The following is a 12,739-nucleotide window of genomic DNA, read 5'->3' on the forward strand; positions in this document are numbered from 1 at the left end:
GCTCCATCCTAACAAGCCTACGTCTTATAACCCCTGAATAACTTCAACAGTAATCTACTGGACTCTTGGCTCCCCAACAATCTAATCTTTATAAGAGTAAGCCTTTTAAAATACCATTCAATCATGTCACTCCTCTGCTTATCTTTCCCACCAATATCTTCTCATCACACTCAGATCAAAAGTCAGTCTTTATTGAAGCCTTCAAGCCTTTAAAAATTCTAGCCCCTGTTACTTCTCTGAATTACTTGCTACCACTTTCCATCTTGCCCACCCTACTCCAACTACAGTTCTTACTGACCCTAGGCATATACTTACCTTAGGGTTGTCCATTCCCCATATATCCAAATGACCAACTGCTTCATCTCTTTTAAGTCTTTACCCAAATATCACTTTATTAATGGGGCCTAAACTAGCCATTGTTCTTAAAATTATAGACAATTCTGACTCTTAGCCCTGATCTTTCTTATCTTACTCAGCTCTATTTTTACATCATTTATTATCTACCATTTTATGTATATGGAGATACTCAGTTTAAAGGTTGCTATAATGCTCAAAACTATAGAGTAACAATTCTGGGTTTACATTGAGAGTTAGAATGTCAATGAAGTGCTAAGTATGAAACAGTCAACAGGGTTAAGAATTCTAAAATGAGCAAAGGACATACACACACACACACACACACGTACACACACATACATCAAAGAAAGTGAATTGATTATATAGAGATAATTAATTTAATATACATATATACTATACACTTACATTTAGTGCATGGGTGCATGGTTTACAGTCTTGGTGATTACAAGAATAAGATATTACAAATAAGGAAGATAAAATAAAGAGGCAGTTTTGTGAGGAAAGACACTGGTTCAGTTTTAGATATTTAATCATAAAGGTCCCCCTTTCTTTCTCGTGCTAAAAGTGTTACAAACTAGATTCGTTACTTCTTAAATGACCCTTTTATTTGGAAATGTTTCTCAAAGAATATTTAGGAACAAGGTAACTTCAACATAAACACAGTTTAAAACAATTGTTCTGTTTTTCTCCTTATTTCTTCACATGTGGGAGAGCCATCTGTAATTTTATATCTCTTGCATGGTAAGAAGTCGCAGTTTCAATTACATTTGATCATATGTATTAAGTGTAAACCTATGGTGTGAGCGATGACAAAGACAGAGTGCCTAACCACCTCTATTTGAAGTCCCCTAGGACTTGGGTTAATTAATGAGACTCATCCTAAGGTTATACATGATCTATTACTTCCTCTAATTAGAAATAATAATCCTGATCATTATGCTGGTTAGCTGGAAAGAAATAAGATGAATGTGCTTAACTATGATTAATAGTCTTCTTTAAGCAGTGTAGATCTCTTCTGTCACTGAAGTTATATGCAAACTGGGCTGCAACTCAATGCTTTTTAATGATACATACTTTTTAAAGCTCATGGAAAAAATTAACTTTATGGTAGATCTTTTTACCTTTCTTGATAATAAACAAACATTTTGGTATTTTAAAATTGATAAATACAACACAAAATTACTATTTTTTCATTTTGCATATAATAGCTATCCAGAACTTTATTCTTTTATTTTTTTTCTCCAAAACTATGTGGCTATATATGTGTATTCTATTTTGGTCCTTTCTGCTGAGGTACAACAGGCTTTTGCACATGATTATATACCAACTTTTTTTAATTCAAAAAATTATTACTACACATATGGTATTTTTTTAACTGGTGTTTTTTTAGGGCTGATTTCTATACTTGTCCCACTCACAATTTTAGCTGACACTTTTATATGTCAAAGAAAGTTATAAAAAGTTATTATCTGGTTAGAGAGATGAAACACTTCCACAAAGAATGTTAATCATCTAAGATTTTTAATGTGACTAATTTAGCTGTAATAAGGTCGAATATTTCAGATTATTTTAAAATAGAAAATAAAATCAAACATATTACTATGTAGGTTTAAAACCTTTAAAACACTGCATGTACTATTTAATTTTGGTTTTGATGTCCGGGCAAATTGAGGTATGATTATGAAAATCTTGGAAAACTGAGATTAGAGGAGTTAAAATTCTGTTGCATACATAAATTGTATCTCAAAGCCTGCAGCAATATAAAAGCACACAGAAGAACAAGATGTTCAGAAGTTTAGCAGTTACATACATGTTAAAAAATTTTAAGCAAAGAGACAGGGTGTCTTGGGAGTGAAACACATAAACTCTAGTCAGATGGTCTTCATTCAAACCTTGGTTTTACCACTGACTGTGCCCTTGGGGAAGTTATCTCACTTCTGAACATCAACATGATTTTGAAAATGATGATAATAATGGTATTGATCTCATATGTTTATTGAGAGAATTAAACAAGCTAATATGTATAAAATACCATCATAATGCTTAAGCTATCCTATTTAACAAATGATATATGCTTCCCATCTGTGATGAGAAGTATGTGCCTAGTCATGTGAAATACAATTAGATTTCAGAATTAGGCTTCCCTTTCATTAATTTCATTCCAGGAACCCAGAGTAGCTGAAGATTTAAACTTATCAATATTAGGCATCCACGTATTGAATTAAAATGTTGATTTTTTTCAATAAAAATTTTATAGGATAATTTAATTAATTTTTTTGCTAATAAAATTGTGGATAGATTTTATATTTGACAGCTCCTATGAAATTTCTAAACATATGGATATGAGTTCCAAAATGTACATCTTGATTTACTTTTTTAAAATTAAATTTTCTGTTCTCTAATATATAATAATTTTATTATTCAGAATTCCCTCCTTTTATATTTGAGTTTAATAATTTATGAAAAATTTTCTATTCACAATGGATTTTTAGATAAAAAACAAACAGTAACTTAGTTATCAATATTTAATAAATTATTATTAAATTTTAATGACATTCAAGATGATAAAGAAGCAAGCATTTAGGCATCTTCTCTGTGCCCTGAACTGTGCTCTCATATTGAAAAAATACAAAAGACATAATCTATAGTATCAGAAATAAAATAAGAAATAAAAAAAGATGATAGAAAATCAAATATAATGAATGCAAGTGTGTGACATACTGTTTGTATGTTAAATTGTTGGTAAATATTCCCAGAGAATGTGAAACTTGAAGTATAGGCAGTTGGAACACAAAAACATAAGTAGAAAAACATACTTAAATCCACAATTTCATAAATTAAGCCAACGTTATTGACCATTTTTCTGTTGAAGTAAGAAACACAGGTAAAAAATAGAGGTAAGTAAATGTTATACATTCACCCCATACAATGTCTTAAAATGCTATTCTTGATGCCACAGGCGGTAAAGATAACTTACACGTTTTTATATAATAGTATTAAAAAATGACTACCTGTGTTTATTTAACCTAGATATATATTTGAGGTTTAAATTTTGACTTAAAATTTTGACTTAAAAATTTGAAAGCTAGAAATATATTACAATACATTCTTTATTATTAAAAATATTTATTTAGAAAAAAATGCATTCAGAGTTCATTTTCTTCTTTCCTAAAGTCTTTTTTGCTATCAGAGTGACTCTTCATATCATACCCATACTAAATATAAATATATAGAGAGATATAAAGTATACCTGTAAATAAATAACACATATGTATTTAATAAGTGTGTATATTTAGCAATAATTTTCAAATCTTTCAAAAGATCTCTTGCCAATTTGAGTTTAAATGGAGATAAAATCATAAATGATTAATTTAACCAGAATGTTACTCTGTCAATCAACCGTAAGACTGACATCTTGATAAATTAATAAAGATCTTTCTGAAAGAGTCTACTAAGCTAATATGCAGATTAAACAAATGTGTTGATAGCTGAACATATGCCCCTTTAGAGCCTAGAAGTATCAAATATGAAACCTACTAAAATTTTGATTTAAAAAATCATACCTGCAGGCCTTGTCCATCTACAGTAACAGAGTTGGCTCTTTGCATTTTATTCTTGTCAATCACTTTGTTTGGCTGCTGGGAACCACTCTTTTCCTTTTTCACTGTTGATTGTCTTTCCTGTAAAAAAGAAAATTTTGATAAAAATAAAAATTAGGAAAATAACATAATAAAATGTTAAGTTGTTTTTACTAATAGAAGAGTTTCATGGTTACAAACACAGGCTCAACTTTCTAATTTGAAGTTCCTAGTGAATAATATGAAAGCTGTTGTTTTCAACTGGCTCAATATATATGATAGCTTCATGATCGAACCACCATTTAAAGAAATAATGAGAAAGAATACCAAATTGTATTATCCCTATGTGCCCAATTATGACTCTTTATCAAAAGTTACTAACGATTACTGAAGTTGATTATTTTCATATGTAATGATACAGATAAAGGGTACAGGATTATAATTTAAAGAATGTGGTATTGAGTACTAAGAAAAGCTTATAAATACATGCAATATTGAAAATTATTTTTAATTGCATGATGGACTTTTAAGCTACTATTTATATCAAAAATAGCATATATCTTAAAACTGACATTCCATCCCAGCTAATTACTTTGTTCCTCATAGTAAAAAAATTTCTTTTAGGAGTTGCCTGCTCCCTGTTTCTATTTCCTCTCTTTTCACTCTCTCTTAACACAACCCAATCAACTTGTATCACCATTACTCCACCAAACTATCTTTTACTAAAATCACCAATGACCGTCTCAGTTTCACATCTAATGATCAGTCTTCATCTTCTCAAATCTTTCAGCAGCATCTGACAGAATTGATCTCTTCTTACTCTTTGAAAACTTGCCTCACGTGGCTTCCAGGACACTTCTTTCTCTGAGCTCTCTTCTTCCTTCACAACTTCGCCCTCATAGTCTCTTTTGCCCATTGCTTCTCCAGCTTTGCCACCTGTAAGACTCAGCCTCTTCCTTGGACCTCTCATCATCTCTATCTACCCTCACTCCCTAGGTAACTTCATTCATTCCCACAACTTTCAATTTCATTTTTATGAAGATTTCTAAATGTATAATTCTTGTTCTGATTTCTACCTGAGCCTTAATTTCCACATGCAGATGCTGTTTCTGTATGTCCACATGAAGGCCTAAAGCACAACATTGTAAAATGTCCAAGATTAGTTTTAAAATTTCCTGCCTACTCTGTCCCTAGAAAATAAATCTCAAACTGGATGACAACTCACCACCTGCCTCATTACATGGCTTAAACATCCATTATCTTTTTGTGCTTGGATTATTGTAACTATCACCTAATGAATCATTCTACTTCCATTTTTGTCTCCCTACACTCAGTTCTCTACACAAAAGCCAAACTCATCCCTTTTTTTTACCCTACTCCAGCTGCACTGGCTTCCTCATTGTTCCTTGATCATAACAATCATGCTTTAAATTCAGAGCTCTTGCAATCATTCTGCAGTCTGCTGGAAAACTTGCCACTGCACATTTGTGGGCCTTGGTCCTGACTTCAGGATGTGGTCAAATGTCAGAGAAGTTTCTCTAGTCCCTTGAGCCTCCTTTTAAAACATCAATTATTACAACCTAAAGTATTATTTATCTGATTTGTTTAATTGTCTGCATTCTTTCATCTTAATCAAAGTTCCATAAGCAAAAGAACTTTCTTTGTGTCACTGGTCTATATCAGATCCTAAATCAGTGACTAACAAAAGTCAGGATAAATCAAGAAATAAATGAAAACTTTTTTGAAAAGTTTTCTAAGTTCTTGAAGCAACTGTTGAGAAGGATTCTTAGGGATTTTAGGCTTGATGTGAAAAATTGTCCTAATTGATTGGCAATGCATGCCATGGGTGCTTAAGTGCTTTAGTGCCACACATTTCCTATCACTTACTCAGCTATATATATTTCCTAGTTCCTATATTTGCTTGTTAGAGTACCATTTCAATTTCTATAATTTAGAAAGATCGGATTTTATTTGTGCAAATGTATGGGGTAACTGAGAAATGTTTTACATGTAAAGGGTATTTAGAGTGATCATTGCCCAAGTACAATACATTTATTAAGTATAATCACCCTTCTCTGCTATCAAGCATTGAATTTATTCCTAGAAAGACATTTTTAAATAGCTTTGAAAGTAAAGCTGTTTTTAAATATATTAGGGCTAGATGGATCAGAAATCGTCTCTGACTAAAATAATGCTAATCAATATAGTCCATTTACCTTGCAATTCCATGGTGCAAAAACACTGAATATATTTTGTGTGTGGCTGAAAATGGATGCCATAATAGGATTCCTGAAATTCAAGTCGTTTGGAAAGTGATGTGCTTTCATATAAGCATAATTTCTGGCAAAAATATTGATTTTTAAAAGAAAGTTCCTTCTTTTTAAGTTTGCAAATTATAATTTTATTCATAGATAGTTAAATGGCATAATGTATATAGGAGTGAATTATTAGATGAGGTCTCGAATCAGAATGCCTGAGTTGAATCTCATCTCTACTACCTAAGTATTATGTAACCTAGAGGGTTTATGCTTTGGCAAAATGGAGATAGTGATACCTATTTCTCAGAGTTGTGTAAGGTTTAATATAAAATGTATAGTCTGTAATATTGTCACTACATTAAAGTATGTATTCAATATAACAGTTACTATGAATGATGTAAAATAGTTGTGGTTGCCTTTTTGGGTACTCATCAACATTGTTTTTATATTTCCAAATGTGTGTGTGTATGAAAAAACATTCAGTGGTTACGTCAGGAACATATTTAAAATTTAAAAGTTCAACGCTTATATTTGAAAATGCATAGCTTGTGTTAGCTGTTCAAAAACTTAATGCTGTTGGTGAGTGTGGAAATAATTTACTCCAGCATTCTTGCATGCATATATATAAAACATGGCATCAATATTTTGTAAAAATCTGCAATGTGAAAGATATACCTTAATACAGTTATTCTTCCTAATTATCCAACAATTGTTGTTTGGCATTCAATTTATAAAATGCTTACACTTGAAGAATTAAATAAAATTCAATTTGATTAGTTACAATGGAACTGGGAATTTGCACCAGATTATATATTTATGTTTTAATGGAAATTTAAGACATGCAAGTATATGTTTTTAAAGAGCTATGAAACCATCTATTAATATGACTTTACTTTTGGCCACACGTATAGCTAGGGAAGTTCTTGTGTTCTAAGAACCTCCAAATGGCAGAGATAGCAGTTGATTAAATGGCATCATGTCCCTCCAAGTAGTCACCCCCCTAAGTAAGTTGGGCAGGAGACTAAACAATTGCTTTAGTGTAAACAATCAGAAATAATACAAACAGGCTGCATGTGGTGGCTCACACCTGTAATCCCAGCATTTTGGGAGGCTGAAGCAGGCAGATCGCTGGAGCCCAGGAGTTCAAGACCAGCTTGGGCAACATGGTGAGCCCCTGTCGCTACTAAAAACGCAAAAATATAGTCGGGCATGGTGGTGGACACCTGTGGTCCCAGTTACTCTGGAAGCTGAAGTGGGAGGATCACTGGAGTCTGGGGATGGAGGTTGCAGTGAGCCAAGATTGTACCACTGAACTCCATCCTGAGAGACAGAGTGAGACTCTGTCTCAATAAATAAATAAATATATAAATAAAAACAAATTTTAAAACCCTAAGTTGAGTTTTCAACTTATGAGATTTCATTTATGAAATCCAGAATTATGAGAAAGAGGTATATAACAAGTTAATTTTTAAATCCTCAGTGTATCCATCTGTCTGTGTATTTTATTATAGTATCTAATACTAAAATGGTAAGCATTCATTTAAACACAAACACACAGACACACGCATCAAGAAAACCAAGTGATTTCTTTGGGGAAAAATGCAAATGTGTGGAATTTGTGCAATTAATCCAGTCTAAAATCTTAAAAACAGGAGAGCCTCATCACTATTTAATTTTTCTTCTATTTCCATTGAGAAAATTGTCTCTCCTTTTTATATGAGGGACAGGAAGGGGGAGGCAACTGTATCCTCAAAAAATTTCCTGTCCACCAGGTTTCACTAGCTTTTTTGGGAAGGTAAATTGACCCTGACTGGCAGACCTCTATTATGATATTTATGAGAGTTAATTACCAATGTTGAAGTTATTGAAAGTTTCAGAAAGAGCTCACCAATCTTAGGTTGCACAATCATTCAGGATAAAATTGCTCTCTGATAATAGGGGACAAAGTTTGCCATTTAACCTTCAGTTTCTTTCTTTAAGTTTTGGGGCTCTAAACCACAAAATAAATTACATTGTTGTAATTAAGGCAAATTTCCTTCTGCCAGATAAATCATCCTAGATATACAAAGAGTTGGAAAATTGTTGCTTTAATCAATAGAAATTATTCAAACACTGAAAAGAGCTACTCTAACTAAAAAAAAGTCATGAAAGAAAATAGAACATATAACTACAAAATATAAAATACAGTTATTGATATTTGAGCATTTTCAAATATCAACCATTTGTGTTTGCTATGTAGACATTTTAAATATAGAATTCAGTGTTTTGTGATCCGTAGACTCCACAAGTAGCACAACAGATCTTAACTGGGGAATATATTGTATTAGAATTCCAAAAGAATAATCATCATCATAAACAGAGAAGAAAAGCCAAAAAGACCATTCACAGAAAATAGAAAGGTGAAATGAATAAAATAAAAAGACCTCACTTTAAATATGTGCTCTAAAAAAAAAATCTTTGTCTACATCATGCTGATTCTCAGAGGTAGAGTATTTGTACACTGGTGAAAACTGCTTTCACAAAAGGGTTGTTTACCACAATACTTAAGCCTGCTGTTATCGATCGCTGGCAAACTGCAAGCAGCAAGTGATGATTACCTCAAGAACAGGGTTTTCTTCTTTTTGTCCAATCTCAGCATGAGAAACTGGCAGCAGCAAAGCACCTCCACTGGTACAAAGCTACAAAGGCGAGTGCTTTCCTGCCAACAGCATCCATCACTTGTATCGTAGAACTTACTTTCCCTGCTACTACTGCACAACTTGCCTGAATGGAGATTTAGTCCTTTCTGCCACTGGAGCTAGGCCACATGAATTTTCCAGAAACCCTAGAGTTTTTAACCCAAGGTATCATATAGATTCACAGCAGTTAAGATCTCTCTGATGCAGAAATGTTACCACATTCAGCAGGGCTTACGAAGGTTCGGTCTGAGACACCAACTTACTAACAAACTGCAAAGCTGCACCTTTAATCAATATGGACTGAACGTGGGATTTGAACATTTTAATGGTTGAAGGAAACAAATTCATTTCAAAAATGATGAAGGCTCTAAATCTATTAGTAATCTTTGGAAATTGCAGCAAAACTATTTGCTGACTAGAAAAAACAGTTTTGATTGTTTTTAATTATAAAGTTTTAAAGATAAATATAATAAACGATATAAGGTCTAAAGATTTTTATTTCTTTTAAACTTAGTTAAGTAAGTACTTTTAAAAAAGGCAAAAACAACTTTTTGTAAAGGCAAAAGTATGAGTTTAGAAGCCAAATTGCAGCTTTGTCTTTTATTTCTGTGTAAGCTTGGGCAAGTTATTTACCATTGCTATGTTACCACTTATTTTAACTATAAATTGGAAAGCTTATGTTAGAAAAAAGTAAGAAAATTTAGACAAAAGTACTGACATAAAACAGGCACTCAGTAAATGGCAATGATTTTAAAGTATAGATAAAAAATTTTATTTATTTTATTATTAAGTTAATCACAGGTATACTGCTTGGTCATAGCAGTAAAAGGTAAGTGTTGTAAGAAGTATGATTTATTTAACATCCTGTACTTTATTTGCCCACTAAGTCACCATAGCTGAGAATAATTGCTGTGGTGATTTGGGTGGTGTCTTTTTGGGAGACGGGGGACAACAAAACAGACAAAATGACAACTGGTCTTAAAGTACCTGGGGGTGTTAGTCACTTCCTACACTTGAAGGTACACTTGGTGACTTGATCCATAAGTCCCGGTTTTCACACATTACACATGAAGTTCATATTTTCTCCTAGGATGATTTTATCCTGGGTATAAACCACTTACAAGATTTCTGTTAAGGAAATTCTTATTGGAGGGAATGAAATTTAGGAATAAGAGGGTCTATGCCAAAATAATTCAATTTTGGCTATGTGCTAGTACATGGCAGCACCATTATAAAATAATGTGTGTATGTCTGTGTCTGTGTGTGTGTGTGTGTGTGTAGTATACATACACATATATGTATGTGTATACTTTATATACAAAAGAAGACTTTGGGCTAGGCGCGGTGGCTCACACCTGTAATCTCAGCACTTTGGGAGGCTGAGGAGGGCAGATCACGAGGTCAGGAGTTCGAGACCAGCCTGGCCAACATGGTGAAACCTCATCTCTACTAAAAATACAAAAAATTAGCCGGGCGTGGTCACGTGCGCCTATGATCCCAGCTACTTTGGCGGCTGAAGCAGGAGAATCGCTTGAACCCGTGAGGCAGAGGCTGCAGTGAGCCGAGATCATGCCACTGTACTCCAGCCTGGGAGACAGAGTGAGACCTTGTCTCAAAAAAACAAAAAAAAAAAACAACAAAAAAAACCAGACTTTGTAACCAACCTCAACATTCCTCTTTCTCCAATCCCTTTGTAAACCATACTGACTGTCATCCACAGTAAACTGAAAGTAAGTACCAGGAGGCAGCTCTCTTATGCTCACACTCATTGTCTCTTTCTACCACCTAAGCTAAATGCTCAACACAGTGACTTATTAGCCCTCAATCTGTTTATGCCAGTTCTAAGTAAAACTTACCTTGTAATTGTAACTGTGTAATTTAATTATTACTCAAATCATTGAATTTTGAATACAAAATGAAAGAGTCATCTTTATAAAAAATAACCTGCAAGCTTTAGAAAGACAAAATAACACAAGTTATGTGTGTGTGTGTGTGTGGTGTGTATGAGGAGTGGTCAAGTTAAGTTTAGAGAGAACAACTGTGCAAGCTTTGGGTATTAATAATAAAAATAGTATTTTTACACTCAGATTTCTTCACAGATGTTCTTGAGTTTTTGCTATACTTTAAAAGAATTGAAACTATTATAAGTGATAAGATTGTGATATATACAAGAAAGGCAAGATACCATTTCCAATTAGAAGATCTGTCCTCATAGAAAAGCCCTTAATCTTCAAAAATATAGCCAATGAATATAAATGTACATATTTTAAGTTAAACATTTAATGTATGTATATATCTTTCTATATGTTCTCCCACATATACTTTAACCACATTTTCCGTTAACCAAGGAGCAACTGTTCCTGATGGCAGAACATAAGGTTTCTTGTCTTTCTGTGTGTATATATGTGTATTCACACACTCAGCCATGCATATATCCATGCATGGGCTTAAGGAAATTTTTGGAACAACAAAGTTGAAAAATCTTATATAATGACTTTGAGGGATACTGGAAAGTTTAAGTTAATGTAAACCAATATATAGTGCCAGAAAAAAATAACTATAGGAAGACTTTTAAAAACTTCATATCAAAATAAAGACTTTTTTCCTGAAAATTAAAAAAATATATAAAAACAAAAATTTGGATCTATTTACTCAATCTATATGACACAAATTATATAACTGAATGCATGGGGATGCTTTGGAGATTAACAGATCTAAAGAGAAAAGTTTAGATCTCAAATGCAATGCCTATATTTGCTTGATTGGGCTGGTAATCGGGGCAGAAACAAACTCAAGAACCTGAGGATGCAAAATTAATTCTCTCACACTTAAATAACCCAATGAAATAATAAACTGTCCTAATACTTTTGTCACTTGAGTGTGTAATTTAGCATCTCTATTTTATAATAATAATTGTGATAATAATGTCACCAACTCACTTAAAGAATATAAAATCAGTTTAACATTTTCTTAGATTAGAAACATTATATTTAAGTGTATGTCCAAGTATTTTTGAGTATGTCTCTGGTTAAAAATGAGAACTTTTTTTTTAATTTAACGAAGAGGTCTACACTGATTAAAAAGCCATTTTTGGTGGGGAGAAAAGAGCAGTTATGACACTTTTTTACAAACATGTTATCCTCTAAATAAATTCATAATCTTATGTAGCATTCATATAAGCAATACTTTCTAAAATAAGCAGATTTTAATTACAATTTTAGGGAAACAATACCATTTGGGCATTTCCTATAGAGATAATAACAATTGAATTGGATACTGTCACAGAACAATGTGGAGGCTTTGCATCATCAATGCAAAGGTAAAGCAAAAATGTTACTGAAAATAATGTTGTGGCAATGCTTACATTTGTTTTCAAAACAAAAGCCATTTATTCTGACTATATTTTATTCTGATGTTTCTCTATACAATGGCATGGGCTAGGTGATTAATGCTGCATTCATTTGAAAGTGATGGGCACTTCAAAGTAAGCAAGAGTCTCTCAACATACTGCCATTGAAACTTATATTTTGATGGCTCAAAGAATAAATTCTTTTGGATTTCCAGCAATGTATCTACATTTTAACGTGAAAAAATGGGAGTGGCACTATTTTTCTATGTAGTAAAAACTCTTTGTAAAGTAACCTTTATTTTTCTCTGTGAAGTCTAGGTCACATAACTTCTTGTTTTCTTAATGCTTATCACAAATATAGATGGAAAATTCTTCAAGTCTATCCCATCACTGAAAATATGAAAACCACCACTTCCAATTAGCAGAATATGAAAAAAATAAAATATAACATGCTGGTATTCGAATGTCACTGAGCCAGCACAAAATGTTCTTTACAGCAATACAAGATGTATAATGACC

General features: G+C 32.6%; 1 protein-coding gene across 26 annotated transcripts in view; it reads right to left on the reverse strand.

Moving 5' to 3' along the window:
• Window positions 1-12,739, reverse strand: part of DGKB (diacylglycerol kinase beta) — an 829,810-nt gene that overhangs the window by 472,409 nt on the left and 344,662 nt on the right. For all 26 annotated transcript variants that reach the window (XR_001744571.2, NM_001350722.2, NM_001350711.2 and 23 more), the window contains one exon: window positions 3,921-4,037. Coding sequence is in view for 25 of the 26 variants with exons in the window: in NM_001350722.2 (NP_001337651.1) it covers window positions 3,921-4,037 (117 nt within the window). In the remaining variant the exon portion in view is untranslated. The remainder of the gene's footprint in view (window positions 1-3,920; window positions 4,038-12,739) is intronic.

This window comes from Homo sapiens, chromosome 7 (assembly GCF_000001405.40).
Source record: "Homo sapiens chromosome 7, GRCh38.p14 Primary Assembly".
Lineage (NCBI taxonomy): Eukaryota > Metazoa > Chordata > Mammalia > Primates > Hominidae > Homo > Homo sapiens.